The sequence below is a fragment of the Homo sapiens genome, chromosome 8 (assembly GCF_000001405.40).
Source record: "Homo sapiens chromosome 8, GRCh38.p14 Primary Assembly".
Lineage (NCBI taxonomy): Eukaryota > Metazoa > Chordata > Mammalia > Primates > Hominidae > Homo > Homo sapiens.
In genome coordinates, this window is record NC_000008.11 from 125498699 (window position 1) to 125516656 (window position 17958).

Below are 17958 nucleotides of genomic sequence, written 5' to 3' on the forward strand. Positions count from 1 at the left end.
ATGAAGGGGCTGTTCTTCACTTTACCCAAAGGTCCAGTACTTGCCTTTGCTAAATATCAATCATGCATTAGAAAATGATTTGATATGTGAAAATTAGATTTACACCAAGATCACTATTAGGGCCTAAGATGAGGAGCATTTATGTTCATATTCAATCATTTACATGCTTTTTGGAAAACAAGTTGCGTTCACTTTTCCTCCCTCTTTTCTTCTTTTGATGGGAAAAACAACATAAAAATAACATGAAAGATTTCTTTTTTTGGAAACAAGAGAGAGAAAAAAAACACTTTTCCACCCATAAGCCCTCTTATTTTTGAACATTCCATCCTCTGTTTACATGCATGTCGACTTAAATAGCTGCGATCGTGGAACTTTTGCTTGGCTGCTGGGCTGTGAACTTCCGGAAAGGAAATAGAGACAGATGTCATTCCCCCGGCAGCTAGCAGAGTGCCAGCCGATGGCAGACACTGGGCATGGGTTATTGTGATTATTGCTACTGCTACCAGCTTGTTGAGTCGGCGGGGCCGCTGTCTTCATTTGGCAAGTGTAGGCATAGCCCTTGTCATTTGATCTCTACAACAGTCTTGCAGTGTAGGTATTATTCTCTCCATTTCACAGAAAAGGGAAGCAAAGTAAGTGACCTGCCTATAGGCACAGAATTAGAAAGCGGCACAGCTGGGAGTTGAACCCAGTCCCTCTGAGATTAGAACGCATATTCTTTTCATTGCACTAGGGTTTCTCAGCCTCAGCAATATTCACATTTTGGGCTGGATAATTTTTTGCCGTGGTGGGGGAGGGGCTGTCCTGTTCCTTGCAGGATGTCAGCGGCATCCCTGGCTTCTTATCCCCTGGATGCCAGTAGCTTCCCCGCTGCCCACATCCAAGGTTGTGACAACCAAACATGTCTCTGTACATTAGCAAATGTTCCCAGAGGACAAAATACCTCCATGTTAAGAACCACTGCAATACAGCCATGAAAAGCAGGCCATGCTGCTTGTTTCTTGGGTGTCCTTTTCCAGGGCATACACTGGCTGTGCATACAGTGGGTGCCAATTCATGTGGTTGCCTGCCCTCACTTGCTAGGTCTGTAGTTGATCCAGAGGTAGCCCAGGCTATGTAAGAGGATCTTGGTCGAGTATGGTGGCTTATGTCTGTAATCCCAGCACTTTGGGAGGCCGAGGCGGGTGGATCACTTGAGGTCAAGAGTTCGAGACCAGCCTGGCCAACATGGTGAAACTCCATGTTGTATTTCTATTAAAATACAAAAGTTAGCTGGGCATGGTGGCACGTGTCTGTAGACCCAGCTACTTGGGAGGCTGAGGCAGGAGAAACGCTTGAACCCCGGAGGTGGTGGTTGAATTGAGCTGAGAATGCGCCACTGTACTCCAGCCTGGGCCACAGAGCAAGACCCTGTCTTAAAAAAACAAAACAAAAACAAACAAAAAAACCCCAGAGGATCTGAAATGTGGATTCATGTCCAGGCTGTGAAGCTCTATCTGCTGGCTCAGCCCAGGGGGTTCTGCAGCATCTCCCGGCACCCTCTCCAAGAATTTGGGACTTGCCTGTCCCTCACCACACCCAGATGTGTCTGGGAGACTCACACCTATGGGGTAGGGCCGTGGCAGCTGCTGGCACACCCAGCAGCATTGTGCAAATCAGAAAAGTGCTCCCTTCTTCAGCCCTGCTCCAGGGCGCAGGCATGGTGAGCAGAACATGGGTTGGCACCATCTGGGATGTTTTTGCAGAGTCTGCAACCCGCACAACCATTCACAGCAGCCCTGATCTAGAAAGTTTTACTGACTTTCCTATTCCCCTTCTATCTCATGGCAAGGACACTTCTGGATAATTGAAGTCCACAGATAAAGCTCAAACTTGCTTTTAGACCTAAAGACTTGACCTTTTTCTCCCCCCAGCCAGCTTTGGTGAGCCTTGCTCATTTATTCATTCAGCAAACATGTTAAGCATCTATTTTGTGTAAGCAGAGTTTTAGGAACGTAGGTTTCAGGCATCAGAAATGAAGTAATATGATGTAGTGCAGTGATTCTCAAAGTCTGGTTTAGGGACCCTTTCATAAGGTGAGCTCCTAGGATTTTCTTCATATACTTTAATGCAAACAGAGTATGGCAATATACTGAATACAGAAGCAGATATGAAAATCCAGCTGTTTTCTTTTAAGCCCAAGATTCAGGAGGTTTGCAAAGGGTAAAACAATGCCATCCTTCTCACTTAGTTTTGTTTTGGAATTTTTAAAAAAAAATTTATTTATTTTTATTTTATTTTTTCTGAGACGAAGTCTCGCTCTATTGCCCAGGCTGGAAGGCAGTGGTGTGATCTTGGCTCCCTGCAACCTCTACCTCCTGGGTTCAAGCTAGTCTCCTGCCTCAGCCTCCCGAGTAGCTGGGACTACAGGCATGTGCCACTGTGCCTGGCTAATTTTTGTATATTTAGTAAAGATGGGGTTTCACCATGTTGGCCAGGCTGGTCTCGAACTCCTAACCTCAGGTGATCCGCCTGCCTTGGCCTCCCAAAATGCTGGGATTACAGGCGTGAGCCACTGCTCCCAGCCTTTATTTTTTTTTTAATGAAAAGATATTGTTTTTATTTATGTGTAATAGGTTTGTCATTGTTATTTTAAGTGAATTAATAAAGATTAAAAATTTCTTATTTTAAATTTTGAATACAGCAAATATCGATAGATATAATCCATAAAAATAAAGCTTGTTGCAGGCCGCCATAATTAAGAGTGTAAAGACCAAAAGCTGGAGAGCTGCTCACACGGTAGATAGAAGCCTGAGTGTGGAGGATGACTAGCCCAGAGTCCCAATTCCAGCCCTGTTCATCACTAGCTGGTTGTGAAACTTGGGTAAGTTTTTAAATTTTTCGGAACCTCAGTTTTCTCACCTGTAAAATGGGAGTCTCATGCCCTGCTGAGAGGGTGACTGTGAGAATTTCAGATGGTTGGTTGGAACCCCTGTCCCGCTGAAGGGTGGCTGGCTCTGGGGGAGAGCTGGAGGTGGCCCCCCAGGGGTGTGCGTTCAGTGGAGCCCTGCCACAGGGGGTGGGGCTCTGAGCATGTTACCAGCCTCCCCCGCAAGGTAAATATGTGAGGATTGGGAAAGTTGGTCAAAGGAAAGGAATTTAGTTTGTGAAATAGCTTCAAAGGGGAATTGGAGGCAACGTGTTTTGCCTTTGATTATTGGATCGTAACCACTTTTAAGTTTTGTAAAACTCTGTTTACTGTCTCTCTCTCTCCCTCCCTCGCTTTTTAATGCACTCCTTCTCAGGGTGCAGAGGAGCTGTCCCCTGCTGGTCTGGGGCCCATTCAGGGGAGATGGTGGTCATGTCTGTGGAGCACACAGCCTTGGGAGTCCCAAGGCCTGGATGTGGCTCTGACTGCTCAAGGGGACCAGCATTAGTCTGACCAGTACAGTTGAGGGGGGAGCTTTGATGCTGTGTATACTGTCCTCGGGCAGCCAGATAGCTCTTCCATCAGCTTGACATGCCACCTCTATTTTTACCACGAGGTTTTTTTCCTTTGGGCTAAGGCTCTTATTTACTGGAAAACTTCTACCAAGGTATGAATAATAGAACAATTTGTCACTAGCTACTGACACGCATGGTGGACTTACTTATTTGATAGCAAAAAGCAAGGCTCGGGGCCATGTAACGCAGGACGGATAAGTGTTGACTGCCACAGGTCCTACTGAGTTTCCAGCCTCCATGTCTTTGCTCTTCTTTCTCCTGGGGGCCGCTTTAACCCAGCCCTAGTATTAGGACCAATCCTGGAGATGACAGGTCTAAGATCTTTAAGTCTCAGCATCAGGAACTTAGCATCAGTTCTCCCTATCACTCAGCTCCCATAACTTGGCATTTGTTTTATTTGTCCCAACTCTGGGTCCAATTCTTTTATGACCCAAGCTAAATGAACTCCACTTGGCTACATTCTGAGAAATGCCAAGCTGGAAATTTGTGTTGTAATATTCAGGAGCTTGAGATGACCCTGAGACTGTCCTAATCTTGATGATGCTGTTTCATTTTATTTTCTTTCTTTCTTTCTTTCTTTCTTCCTTCCTTCCTTCCTTCCTTCCTTCCTTCCTTCTTTCTTTCTTTCTTTCTTTCTTTCTTTCTTTCTTTCTTTCTTTCTTTCTTTCTTTCTCTCCTCCCTCCCTCCTTTCCTTCCTTCCTTCCTTCCTCTCTCTCTCTCTCTTTCATTATTATTATTATTATTATTATTATTTTGGAGGCAAGAGTCTGTCTGTCGCCCAGGCTGGAGTGTCGTGGCGTGATCTCGGCTCACTGCAACCTCTGCCTACCGGGTTCAAGGGTTTCTCATGCCTCAGCCTCCCCCGTAGCTGGAATTACAGCTGCCTGCCACCACGCCCGGCTAATTTTTTGTATTTTTAGTAGAGATGGGGTTTCACCATGTTGGCCAGGCTGGTCTTGAACTCCTGGTCTCAAGTGATCCGCCTGCCTCGGCCTCTCAAAGTGCTGGGATTACAAGTGTGAGCCATGACACCTGGCCTGTTCTTCTAACGAATTTCTGATTGTTGAACTGAGGGTTTTAGTTGGTGTAGTGGGCAGAATAATTCCCCGCCTCCCAGTGTTCATATCCTAATCGCTGGAATCTGTGAATATGCTACCCCACATGGCACAAAGGATTTTGCAGATGTGATTAAGTTGAGGATCTGGAGATGGGGAGATGATCCTGGGTTTTCTGAGTGGCTCCAATGTCATCACAAGGGTCCTTATAAGAGCGAGGCAGGAGAGTCAGTCAGAGGAGGAGACGTGGTGATGGAAGCAGAGGATGGACTGATGTGATTGTTGGCTTTGAAGACGGAGGAAGGAGCCGTGAGCCAAGAATGGCAGGTGGCCTCTAGAAGCTGGAAAAAGCAAAAGGACAGATTCTCCCCTAGAGCCTCTGGGAAGGAACACAGTCCTGCTGACACTGTGATTTTAGCCCAGTGAAATTCATTTTGGACTTCTGACCTCCAGATTTGTCATAAAATAAGTTTGTGTTCTTTTAAGCTTCTAAGTTTGTAGTAATTTGTTACAGCAATGGTAGAAAAAGAATACAGTTGGGAGTAGGGACTATCAGAAGCTGGTAAAGCGGCAGGTAGATACCTCTAAGAGCGCTATGAGGTCTCTGGGTATAAATAATGCATGGGCTGTCCTCTCCTGGAGCTTACAGTCTAGCAGTGGCACTAAGATGTCGTGTGAATGACCCCAAGGAATGGGGTAGAGTGGAAAGCACTAGGAAGAAGCTGCAAATGAAGTGCAGAGGAAGGACTTGCTGCCTCTGGTCCGTGGGTTCAAGGGAGGACTCATATAGGGATTTGAGTTGGTATTTGAGGGAAGGACAAGGTTCCCAGATAGGCAGAAGGAACCATGCCAAAAAGAGCACAGAAGCGGGAAAGTACAGTATGAGCCCAGAACCCAGGGGTGTTCTAAATTTGGACCCAGGGGTTGGATAAGGATGTCTGTTGGTTACAAGCTACAGAAAGCCTCAACTCACTTCAGACAGGAAGAAATCCTGAAGTTGAGTGTTTTGAGGTTGGCCAATATGGTGCTCAATGCTCTTGCCAGGCACTCAGTTTCTTTCTTTCTTTCTTTTTTTTTTTTTTTTTGAGACATGATCTTGCCCTGTTGCCCAGGCTGGGATGCCATGGCGTGATCTCGGCTCACTGCAACCTTCGCCTCCCGAGTAGGTGGGATTGCAGACACCCGCCACATGCCCGGCTAATTTTTGTATTTTTTTCAGTAGAGATGGGGTTTCACCATGTTGGCCAGGCTAGTCTTGAACTCCTGACCTCAAGTGATTTACCTGCCTTGGACTCTCAAAGTGCTGGGATTCCAAGTGTGAGCCACCTCGCCCGACCAGAGACTCAATTTCTTTCCCTCTGTACTGCCACCCTCAGCCCACAGACTTGGCCTTGGCCATGTCGCCTCATGGCCACAGAAAGGCTACTGCTAATTCAGGTGTCACATGCAGGCATGACAGTGGCCAGCAGAGGACGAGGGATTGTCTCTTCACAGGAATGTCTATTTATTAGCAAAGAAAGCTTCCCTGGAAGTTCCCACCCCTTTCTTCTCTGTTTGTTTCCAGGGCCAGAATTTCGTCTTCTGCTTATTGTCAAAGGGAGTGGGCTAGGGAGGCATGTGTATGGAAGATATATTGCATTCCCAGCACATTCTACGGTTATCAGTTATTCTTTTTTCCCTTTTATTTTATTTTGAGATGGAGTCTCTCTCCATCACCCAGGCTGGAGTATAGTGGCATGATCTTGGCTCACTGCAACCTCCGCCTCCTGGGTTCGAGTGATTCTCCTGCCTCAGCCTCCTGAGTAGCTGGGATTACAGGCATGCACCACCATGCCCAGCTAATTTTTGTATTTCTAGTAGAGATAGGGTTTCACCATGTTGGTCAGGCTGGTCTCGAGCTCCTGACCTCGTGATCTACCCGCCTTGGCCTCCTAAAGTGCTAGGATTACAGGCGTGAGCCACTGGCCTCCCCTTTTATTTTTTGTTGACATGTAATAATTGTATATATTTATGGGATACAGAGTGATATTTATGGAATACAAGTATAATGATCAAATCAGGGTACTTAGCATGTCTATCACCTGAAACATTGATCATTTTTTCAGTCTTGCGAACATTAAAAATCCTTTCTTCTAGCTTTTTAGAAATGTACACTAAATTATTGTTAACCATATTCATCTTACAAGGTTACAGAACCCTAGACCTTCTTCCTCCCATCTAGCTTCTCTAGTAATTCTTGAGAAGTACAAGCAAGAAAGTGAGGAAAAGTTGATCAGTCCAAGGCCACCCAGAAGCCTATCCTGCATCTGCACACAATCCATCCCCATGTCCTGTTGGCACCATTGTCCACCCTCTTCATTTCTACAGCTGACACCGTAGTTGATGCCCCCTGTGTCTCCTGCCAGGTTCTGCCCCAGGGCTCCCTCCACTGGTTGTGTGTAATGTGTGTGTGGGGTTTCAGAGGGGCGGGGGAGACTGCTGCAAGGACCATGGCTCTTATTCCTCGGAAGTCAGGGGCCATCCTGACAGCTTGGTGGCTCTGCTTCCTGGATTCACGGGACCTCTCTCACCCCAGGTGGTTAGAGATAGCCAGTTGGGAGTGGTTTGAGTTTTTCACAATGACAGGTTCCTGAAAGTCACCCCAAGCTCTGGGCTGAGGATAGCTGGGTACAGCCAAGGGGGGAAACATAGAAAGAGGAAGGAACTTCCTGTTAGAAAGCAAACGGCTGGGAGGTGGGGGTGGGGGCGGCTGTGCACCCTGGACCCTAAACTGCAAGGGACTGTGGTGAGGCCTCGGCAGACCCCAGATCCCCTCTCCATTCCCACAGGCAGAGGGCTGGCATGACCTCCCATGGCTGGGTCTGGCTGGACCTGTGAAGGTTGGCCTGCAGACCTCTTTCCTGTGCTTCTCCTGGTCCTGACTCTGGGCACTGCCTTCTGTCCACTGCGGCTGGGGTTGCTGCCTCTCTCAGTGCCCTGCTGGTCCTTAGACCCCACGGTGGCTGCTTTCGAGCCAGTTTAGAAAAAAAAAAAAAAAAAAGGAAGGAAGCCGAGGACTTCCTTCTCAGAGAGGCCATCGCCCAAGGGGGCCAAGCCACACAGAGTGGCTCCTTCTAGCTCTCTTGTAGCTCCAGGAATGACAGGCCTTCCTGGCTATGCAAGACCCTTTCTGCCCCGATCCCATGGAGCCCTCAGCTCTCCTGGGCTGCCCCTGGGCTCCCTTTCTAGAGAGGGTAATTCTTAAAATATCTAGTAACCAGTTTGCCATGGGCACTGCTCTGGCACAATGAACAGACAGCAGCCATAATCTCCTTTCCAAGGTGAACTGGACCAGTTGATGGTTCACTCTGCTTTTGCCGTTCTTCCCTCAGGACACGGAGCCTGTCCACTCACCTGTCTCTTGCAGTTGCCTGTTAGAGCAGGTTTTTTTTTTTTTTTACAGAGTCTTGCTCTGTTGACCAGGTTGGAGTGCAGTGGTGCAATCTCAGCTCACTGCAAACTCTGCCTCCCAGGCAATTCTCTTGTCTCAGCCTCCTGAGTAGCTGGAACTACAGGTGCCCACCACCATGGCTGGCTAATTTTTGTATTTTTAGTAGAGATGTGGTTTCACCATATTGATCAGGCTGGTCTCGAACTCCTGACCTCAGGTGACCCACCTGCCTCGGCCTCCCAAAGTGCTGGGATTACAGGCGTGCCCAGCCCTTGAGCAGGTTTTATCATGGCTCTGAATCTGTCAGATGGAGATAGAATACTAACATCTCCTTTTCAGGCGTGGTATGACCGTTCAGTGAGGAGAAAGCCCTTGTCACTGCGTGGGGCACATCACAGCCTCATGGTTCGTGTGACCATGAGTCCCAGTAGGCCAGGGACAGCCTGGTTTGTGCTCGTTGTCTCAGTGTAATTAATAATAACACTGCTTTTCATTCTTGAAAGTGTACCGGTCTGGACAACAGATGACTTAGTTGCCATTCTTCTCTTAATTGCTGGAGTTCTTCTGTTGGCCCAGTGACACCCAGTGTAGAGGCAAAAACACAAGGTTTGCTCTGGATTCTTGTCCCGGCTCTGCCACCAAGCACAGTGTGGCCTTGGACCAGTCAACTCCCGAGCTTCTGTCTCCCCAGCTCCACCCACCTGGAGGACAGAGCCTTGTGTTTTTCTCGTTGGCATCCCCAAGGCCTGGCAGACAGTCGGCGCTTAGCGGGCTGATGACTGACTAAAGAACATTTGCGAGGGTTGAAGGAGGCACTCCCATTCCCACGCACAGGGATCCCGCTGCTCCGGGTCCCTGAACCAGAAGCCAGTGTGTGTCTGTGGTTAGTGTCCCAGAGGCCCCACCCACTCACCTCCCCAGCCCACCCCAACCAAGGCGGAAGAAAAGGCCCTCACACAGGCCCTGGCTTGATTTTAGTCACCTCAGACTGTTTCCCTGTCTGCTCTGAGCACCTGCTTCTTCAGCCTTAAGCTGAAAGATTGGGAAAGACAGTCTTTCAACCTGCTGCCAACTCAAGCCAGGTTTCTGGCCTCAGGCGTCACATTGTCATGGGCTTATGGGACACCAAGAGATCCTGACTCTGCCTCTTAATAACTGTGTGACCTCGGGCAAGTCACTCAACTTCTCTGGGCCACCATTTTCTCACGTGAGAGGAGTCAATCAGATGGGTATGCGAGGCCTTTGCACAGGGCTGAGGGAACTGAACAGACACTTAATAAACATCTGTGTCTCCACCAGGCTTTGCTTGTGACAGGAGTGTGGGTCTCCCTCTCCTCCCTACCACCTCTTGGCATTTCTTCTGGGCAGGGAGGTCAGAGCCAGGTGTTCCCAGGAGGACCACGAAAACCTAGTCACCCATAATCACCATACTTTCTGAATCCAAAGTTGTATGTCGTGTGGCCTAACAAAGATATCAAATGCAATTATGAAGATGAGATGATTCAATAAACCACTTTTACAGAAAGTATCCAGTGTGGACATTGAGTTGAGGCAGTCCTGCACGTGGTACTCCTTACTCCTTAGGGAGGAAGCAGGACAGTCCAGGGCACACATTTACTGAGCACCTACTAGGTGCTGGTATTTGCACTCATGTGCTTTCATTTTGTCATCACCATGACTCTGAGAAGTGGGCATCTCTCTTCTCACTTCAGGATGAAGCTTGGCGAGGTGACAACTTTAAAAGTAGTCAAGTGTGTTTACTTAAAAGGAAAAGCTGATCACACCTCACATCCGGTTATGACCATCAAAGAGTCACAGGAAGTTGCTGACTTATTCCCAGCAGAGGAGAGATTTGAACTCAGTTATGTCCACCACCTAAGATTAAATAGCTTCCACTACCTTCCCCTCTGCAGTCCCCGGGCATGCATTCCCAGCCGTCTCTTTGCCACACAGGTGCTTGCCTCTTGAGCTACCTTTTCTCCCTCCCCAAAACCTACAACTTGCCTCCCACCTGCTTCTAGGGATACTTTGAAGATGGAGGAGGATGTTTTCCCAAAGCTCCCAGGTCCCTCTGGGGCCTCACCAGGGCAGCATATTATTAGCTAAAGCACACGACAGCAGCAACAGCAACTCTAATGAGTGCTCTCCCAACATCCTGTCGCCGAGGTCACTGGCAGGCATCATTAGCCCCATTTTAGAGATAGGAAAGCTGAGGCCCAGCGTCACCATTTGTGACCTGCCCACGGTGCCATGATGAGTCAGTGGAGGCCCAATGCAAGCTTACTGTGCCTTTGTTCTCCTTCCTGCCTGAAAAATGGAGGGTAAAAAAGAGCTGCCACCTTGGGAACCTCTGGCCCTTCCTTGGAGAGGGAGAGGTGCAGCCAGACATGATGGTTCCAGCCTGACAAAGCCTGGCCTTGGGTAGGGGTAGAGACAAATGAGTACATGGGGTCCAAGGCCCCTTCCACACTGGACACCAACCCTAGGTGGCATTGCTGGGACACTGTCCCCCGCAAATGTCTCCAGCTCTTACTTTGCGGCTAAGACCTTGGCCAAGATGGTGGTGATGGTGGTGGTGTGTGTGTTCTGGTTTGAGCCTGAAAGGGAAGAAATTGATATGGAGGAGGGAGGAGGGGAGGGACAGCAATGGGCTCACATTTGCTGAGTGCTTTTCGTGTGCCACCTACATTACATGCAGTTTGCCATCTCATCCCCACTCTACAGAGGAGGAAACTGAAGCCCAGAGGGGTGAAGAAATTCCGATCAGAGTTTCAGAGCATGTGAAAGAAAAAAAAGTCAGGATGTTAACCAGGATCATTTGGCTTGAAAGCTGTCGCTTTTGAAGTAGCCCACCCTGCCTCTTTGGAATTTCTTTGAGAGAGCTGGGGTCTACAAAGGTCAGCTTCATGGGCATGTGACCCGTGTGATCGCACAGGGTCCCACACTCAGAAGGACCACCCACTTGGTTTAATTGGTTCTGCTTTCATCATCTTGAAATTCCTAATGATTTTTGAACAAGGGGCCTTGCAGTATTTTTTTTTTTCGCGAGGCCCTACCTACAAATTATGTGGCTAGTCCTAGGTCTACACACAGAAGCCTACAGGACCAGATGCCTCTATCTGTGGAAGGCCTTGGCCCAACACTTCCGCAGGAGTCTGGGTGAAAGGCACAGGCCTTTCCAGCTTTCCCAATCACAGAGCCTGAGCAACAAGGCTTGGGGAAGACCTCTTATGGAAAGAAAGGCCTGATGGAGACAGAGCCTGGGTTCATCAGGGAAGAAAGGGTACCTGATAGAGCTTTAGAGTGAGGGGCTGGAGACCGCAGAAAGGGGACCCAGGAGCCCTCTGGGCTGCTGTAGGCTGGTGGAAGGCCCCTTGCTCCAGCTATTAGTCACAGGAAGTTGCTGAGAAATTGTTGACATATATAATCGTGACTCTTTGATGGTCATAACTGGATGGGAAGTGTGATCAGCTTTTCCTTTTAAGCAAACACACTTGGACTACTTTTAAAGTTGTCACCAGGGGAGAGTGTGGACAGTCTTTATTCCAACGCTGTTGCTGTAGGAGATGCATTTGAAGCTCTGCGGCACATCCTCTTGGCCTGTCTCTGGTTTTTAGCTGCATCTGAGGTGGGTGGATGGTTCCTTATGAGTTCAGACGTCTGCTCACAGCCTCCCACCTAAGGTGCTGGAGATGCGTGACTCTCTGATTTTCTGCCTCAGGCTGGGCTTCGGGAGCTCACTCAGCCTAGTGCAAGCACAGCTGGGAACTCAGAGGTTCCCAGAGAATCTAGCTCCGTGCCTAAAAGGGTGACTTCAAAAGTGCACACTTAGGACCAGGTGCGGTGGCTCACACCTGTAATCCCAGCACTTTAGGAGGCCGAGGCAGGAGGATCACTTGAGGTCAGGAGTTTGAGATCAGCCTGGCCAACATGATGAAACCCTGTCTTTACTAAAAATACAAAAACTAGCTGGGTGTGGTGGTGTGTGCCTGTAATCCCAGCTACTCGGGAGGCTGAAGCAGGAGAATCGCTTGAACTTGGGAGACAGAGGCTGCAGTGAGCCGAGATTGCAGCACTGCACTCCAGCCTCGGCAACAGAGCAAGACTCTGTCTCAAAAAAAAAAAAAAAAAAAAGGTGCACAGTTGCATTGACTTTCCTCTTCCCCAACTCACCACCCCCAACTCTCACTCCTGCTTCTTTGGGTCATCTCCTAAATAAATGGCTTGAACCCTAGTCCTTGTCTCAGGCTCTGCTTTTGGGGAACAAAAGCTGAAATAGGTGGGATTGCTTGGAGCATCAGCAGTTCCTCTTCTGGACTGTCTTTCAGAAGCTGAGGCCTGATCTTTTGTAGCTCTTCAAACACAGCAAACCTTCCATCTTCCTGGAGGAGGAGATTGATTCCTGCCAATAGCCAGACGCAATCCAGAACAAAGCTTGGTATTAAGCTTGGGTGGTAAATCACGTTCCACGTGCAGCGACAGCTGGACTGGAGGCCAGAGTGAAGGGCTAGATTTGGCCAAGACTTGGCTTCAGGTGTGATGTTGGCCACATCCTTAGCTGTGTGGTCTGGGGCTGGTGAGGTGACTTTTCTAGGCCCCAGGGGCTTTGTCTGCAGAATGAAGGGCAGTAACACCTAGCACCCTGGTTTACTGTGGGAACCGAGCATATTTGTGAAATTGTTTTGTGATGGATAAACAGCTATACATGCATGAGCTGTGACTGGTTGAAAACAAAATGGTGGCTGCAAATTAAAGAGGTGGGGGCCAGTTGATTGTGAAGGCCAGGCCCTGTGGGAGTCTGAACACATTTTGGTCAGTGGTAGCATCATTAGAAGGGCCTCCCCAAAAGGCTCCTGGGCTGGGACAACAGTTTTCTGACTGTGATTACCCCCATATGCTGCTTACGAAGCAGTCCTTGGTCCTTCATGGGTGTGCCTTAGAGATACTGTTTGTGCTAAGAAAGGATTGGGGTTCTGGTCTTGTTTCTTGGCATTCATGAGCTGGTCCCTAAAGAGAAGCATGTGACCCTGGGGATGAACCAAGAGCTGGCACACTGGGCTGGTCCAAGAGCTGGCACACTGGGCTGGTCCAAGAGCTGGCACACTGGGCTGGTGGGGTGTGGGGCAGGGACATTGGGATTCCTGTGAACACCGCAGGGTGTCATCCATGCATCTCACAAATGCGTACTGAGCAGGTACCACGTGCCAGGCACTGAGCCAGTGCTGGGATGCAGCAGGAGACAGAGCCTGACACTGCTGGGGCTCACATCCCATGGGGGACAAGGCAATAAACAAATAAAGATATAAGGTCAGGCTGTGCCATGAAAGAAAATAAAGCCAGGTGGGGGAATGGAGAGTGATGGAAGGCCCACTGACTTGGAAGAGTGGCCAAGGAAGGTGGTGTGAGGAGCTGATATTGGGACAGAGCCTGGGATGATGGGAGAGGTGAATCACCATTAGGGGTAAAGGTAGAGGTGATAGTCAGTACAAATGCCCTGAGCGGGGAGGATGCTCAGTGTTTGAGCAAGGTGGCTAGAGTGGTAGAGGAAGGTGAGGGAGAGGGAGAGAGAGGGACAGAGAGGGAGAGAGACAGAGAAGGAGAGAGACAGAGGGAGAGGAGAGAGAGAAGAGAGAGAGGAGAGTGAGAGAGAGAGGGAGACAGAGAGGGAGGGAGAGAGAGAGAAGGAGAGACAGGGAGTGAAGGAGAGAAAGGGAGATAGAAGAGGGAGAGAGAGAAAGAGACAGAAGAGGAAGAGAGAGGGAGAGAGGGAGGTAGAGAGAGAAAGAGAGAGAGTATCAAGTCAAAGAGTCCAGAGAGGTGTTGGGGAGGTCGGATCATGCATAGCTTTGCAGGCCAGTGTAAAGTTCAAGTCTAATCTTTGTCATTAGCTGCTGTGTGACCTTGGGTACATCCCTTCCCCTCTGTGGGTGTAGTTTCTTCATAGGCAAGTGAGAGACTGGACTAGTAGTTCTTACCCCTACAACATCTGCTTTAAAAAACACCCATGCCCAGGCCCCACTCCAGTGATTTGAATCAGAAACTCTGGAGCTGGGGCCTGAGCATCGTGTGTGTTCCAAGCTCCCCCGTTTGACTCTGTGAGCAGCGGGAAGTGAAACACTGGAGGAGTGGGAAGGTTTGAAGGGCAGCAGGGGTGGAACCAACCTCTCTATCCTCTCCGTCCATCTCTGCCTCTTGCCTAGCCTTCTAGCAGCGTCAGCCTGTAGCCTGTCCCACACCAAACACCCGAATCTGCAGAAAGAGCAAATCAGCCCTGTCCCCTTCTTCCTTTTTACAGACCCCCACAGCCAGAGGGCAAGAGGCAGGGGTGACCCTAGGCCCTGGGAGATTTTGTTTATGGTGCATATTTCACTTCTACAGGATCCTCACAGCTGTGATCTTGCCTCATCGCAGTTGCCAACACTGAGGGGCTGCCTTCACCCCATTTGCTAATTCCCCAAGTTCCTCTTTCGGGCATGTTCCTGTCCCTCCGTGTTCCCGTGGCCGCGTGGAAATGGACCGAGGCCCACAGGGTGACTCAGAGGGGAAGCCCCTGCGCTGCGAGGCTCCCAGCAGCTCCTGGATTGCGTAAGGGCTATTTTTGAGGAGATTGCAGACGATCTGATGAATCATAGCAAACACACATGGCTCCGGCGGGGGACAGCCCTTCCTCATGTTGCTGTGGAAAGTGGAGCTTCTCAAAATGAATCAGCAGAGCCTGAACCCCAGGTCTGTGGGAGGAGGATGAGGGTGTGAATTACACATTTCCAAAGTATTGGGGTGCGGTCGCCTGGACCTGGGAGCGGGGGCTGCAGGGACCCAAGTCTTTGGTTTTCTCAGTGACTCAAAGATCCTCTCTCACCCACCTGAGCCTGCCATTTGGAATCTCCTGACCCTCCATCAGTCTAGAGCAATCACTTGCACTTCCTGGGGTCCAGGGAGAAAGTTAGGGTGGGCGCAGCCTAGTGTAACTGCTTTCAAGTGGTGGCACACAGGGTCTGAATCCAGAAATCCAGAGGCCACCCCTTCTCTGGGTTGCCCATATGAGAAATTCCTGACCACGAGGAAAAGGCTCAAATTACACCTGCTAGGGGTAGGGGAGGCCCCCCTTGCTCCCCCAAGCTCAGCGGCATGAGAACTAAGGGGGAGAGTGGAAGGGTGGTTGGGAGTCGTCAGGCTTTAGAATCGGACAGTATTGGATTTGAGGCCCCAAACCAAAACCACAGCTTGGAAAAAGTCCTAGGACATAGCTGAGCCTCAGTTTTCTGATTTGTCAAATCAGGTAATAATATCTAAACACACGAGGATTACCCAAGGCAGCCGGATATAATGTAAAGAACCCCCACTCTGCAGCCGGGGGCCTAGACCTCGGTCTGTTAATGATCAGCTGTGTGTTCTTGGGCAGGTCACTGAACTGTTCTGTACCCCAGTTTTCTCCTCTTTAAATGAGGATAATAGTGCCTTCTCATAGAGTTGATTAATAAGCTAATAGATGCAAAATTAAAGGAAGAGTGCCTGGTGTATAATGCATGCTTGGTAAGTGCTAGCTATTGTTATGTGAAGTGAGCATCATAGCAAGGTATGGTAGATTTATTACAGTCAGAGCTCAGGAAAAAGTAGTTGCCATCATCATCATCATCATCATCATCATCAATCATCATCAATCATTGTCATTATTTTTTCTAGAGAACTGAAGTAGATTTGGATAAAAGCTGGGGGGCCTCAAAGGGCACTGGAGAGAGGAAAACCTGAAGTCACTGTCGATGTCAGACTTTGGGTTTCCTTCATAATGTTGCTTAGTTTGGCCCAAAGCAGAGGGAGATTTTGCGATTAGCTGGACAGCAGGAGAAAGACAAGGGGGACAGTCTGTCTTGGAGAAGACTGAAGTTCCAGGGTGTCCTATTTATGTCTCTGCAAAGATGGAATGACCTTTAGGATTGCCCAATTCATAGTGTGCAGAGAGGACACGGAGGATGCACCAGCAGAGAGCCTGGACCCATGGCAGCATCAGGTATTGAAGCTGAGAGATGAGAGTTTCCATACACACCCTGCTCAGAATAACATGCTCTGTTGGGTAATGGTTAAAAATTCAAGAGATTTTCTGTGGCTACTGCTGTTGGTGAACCTGCTCCCTTACAGACAGGCTGTTGGGATTCTAGGTTCTGGCTGGTATCTCTTCTATGCATAAGCCTTACAGCTGAGTTTAAAGTTAACCTATTTCTATAACCAGGATGTGGTAATACCGTGCTTCTCACTCCTGGCTGCAAATATGAATCACATAGAAAGCTTTTAAAAATAATGGTGCTTGGGCCCCACCCCAGGCCAATTGAATCTGAATATCTATGGGTAGACCTGAGCATTATGTGGCATAAAAGCTCCCCAGATGTTTCCAGTCTTCTTCTCTGAACTGAGTTTTTTTTTTTTTTGCTTCCTTTTATCTTGAACTACCTGCCCCTCCCCATCTCACCCCAATCTAGCTGATTCCATTCTATCTTTTCCTTTTGTTGAATGATTCAGTCATACAAAAAGTATTTATCGAAGGCCTACTGTATACCAGAAACTGGTCTAGGAAGGGCAGATACAGTAGTAAACAGGAAAAGACAAAGGCCCTGCTTTCATGAAACTTATGTTCTGGTTTTTTTTTTTTTTTTGCTTCCTTTTATCTTGAACTATCTGCCCCTCCCCATCCCACCCCAACCTAGCTGATTCCATTCTATCTTTTCCTTTTGTTGAATGATTCAGTCATTCAAAAAGTATTTATTGAAGGCCTACTGTATACCAGAAACTGGTCTAGGAAGGGCAGATACAGCAGTAAACAGGAAAAGACAAAGGCCCTGCTTTCATGAAACTTATGTTCTGTTTTTTTTTTTTGAGATAGAGTCTTGCTCTGTCACCCAGGCTGGAGTGCAGTGGCATGATCTCAGATCACCACAACTTCTGCCTCCTGGGTTCAAACAATTCTCCTGCCTCGGCCTCCTAAGTAGCTGGGACTACAGGCGCGCACTACCATGCCTGGCTAATTTTTATGTTTTTAGCAGAGACAGTGTTTCACCATGTTGGCCAGGCTGGGTTCAAACTCCTGACCTCAAGTGATCCACCCACCTCAGCCTCCTAAAGTGCTGGGATTACAGGAGTGAGCTGTCGCGCTTGGCTGAAACTTATGTTCTTATGTGGGGAAGACAGAGAATAAGCCAAATATATATAAATATTCATGGTAGAGATCAGAAAAATAAATCAGGGAAGGGGATGTGAGAGTGATGGGTCATCAAGGATGGTGATATTTGACCAGAGACTTGAATGAAGTGAAAGACCTACCATATAGATATGTGAGGTAGAACATTCCAGAAAGGGAAGCAATTATCAAGACCCTGAGGAGTGAATGTGGAGCACATTCCCTTTCAGTGCACGCCATTCTACTCCATGTTACCCATTACAGTGTATCCTATAAATATCATCCACCCAATTCCAGTCCTAACTAGTTTCTTTGGACTTGGCTTAGCCAACTGCGTTACTGGCCTAATATTGGGTAAGAGGTGGAGATACAATAAATGCTAATTCAGAGTATTGCTGATGGAAATAGTGCTGTCTCAGTTTGGCTCAGCTCAAATCTGGATGGGCGTTCTGCCTGACAACCATGTGTTAAAACCATGTGCAGGTTTAGAGAGAAATTAGGAAGTAGTCTCAGATATATTTCCCCATGTGTAGCTCTGTTGATCTCATGGATCTTTTGTTTCATTATATACTCCAAATTCAAGGTCAGTGGACATCAGAAACCCAGCAGAATTCAAAATATGTGTCGCGTCTCCTTACCTGCCACAGTGTCTGTAATTGCCTTATTTGGGTCACTCAGTGAGAGGTCTTCCAGAGATGAGCCTATTAAACAAGGTTCAGGTGTTCTGTTATCTATTAGGATCCCTGAGGATCTTGCACAGACTGAGATCTTGAAGGAATAGGACGTGGGGCAGGCAAAGTTTGATTGAAGAGAAGAGGGA

At 48.4% G+C, this 17958-nt stretch overlaps 1 long non-coding RNA gene across 1 annotated transcript in view, besides 5 other annotated features; it reads left to right on the forward strand.

The window, feature by feature from the left end:
* TRIB1AL (TRIB1 associated lncRNA) overlaps nt 1-17958 on the forward strand; it is a 76581-nt gene that overhangs the window by 31894 nt on the left and 26729 nt on the right. The gene's annotated exons all lie outside the window — the stretch shown is intronic.
* Nucleotides 2598-3098: an enhancer, noted in NCBI's record as "H3K4me1 hESC enhancer chr8:126513538-126514038 (GRCh37/hg19 assembly coordinates)". NCBI's record gives its function as "activates a minimal SCP1, AML or CMV promoter by ChIP-STARR-seq in naive H9 embryonic stem cells {active_cell/tissue: H9 hESC(naive)}" and the evidence as "EXISTENCE:reporter gene assay evidence [ECO:0000049][PMID:30033119]".
* Nucleotides 7546-7685: an enhancer, noted in NCBI's record as "active region_27916". NCBI's record gives its function as "activates an Ori minimal core promoter by ATAC-STARR-seq in GM12878 lymphoblastoid cells {active_cell/tissue: GM12878}" and the evidence as "EXISTENCE:reporter gene assay evidence [ECO:0000049][PMID:35858748]".
* Nucleotides 9846-9895: an enhancer, noted in NCBI's record as "active region_27917". NCBI's record gives its function as "activates an Ori minimal core promoter by ATAC-STARR-seq in GM12878 lymphoblastoid cells {active_cell/tissue: GM12878}" and the evidence as "EXISTENCE:reporter gene assay evidence [ECO:0000049][PMID:35858748]".
* Nucleotides 14171-15370: an enhancer, noted in NCBI's record as "P300/CBP strongly-dependent group 1 enhancer chr8:126525111-126526310 (GRCh37/hg19 assembly coordinates)". NCBI's record gives its function as "activates an origin of replication core promoter dependent on BRD2, BRD4, P300/CBP, MED14 and CDK7 cofactors, with strong dependence on P300/CBP, by STARR-seq in HCT116 cells {active_cell/tissue: HCT116}" and the evidence as "EXISTENCE:reporter gene assay evidence [ECO:0000049][PMID:35650434]".
* Nucleotides 14287-14656: an enhancer, noted in NCBI's record as "active region_27918". NCBI's record gives its function as "activates an Ori minimal core promoter by ATAC-STARR-seq in GM12878 lymphoblastoid cells {active_cell/tissue: GM12878}" and the evidence as "EXISTENCE:reporter gene assay evidence [ECO:0000049][PMID:35858748]".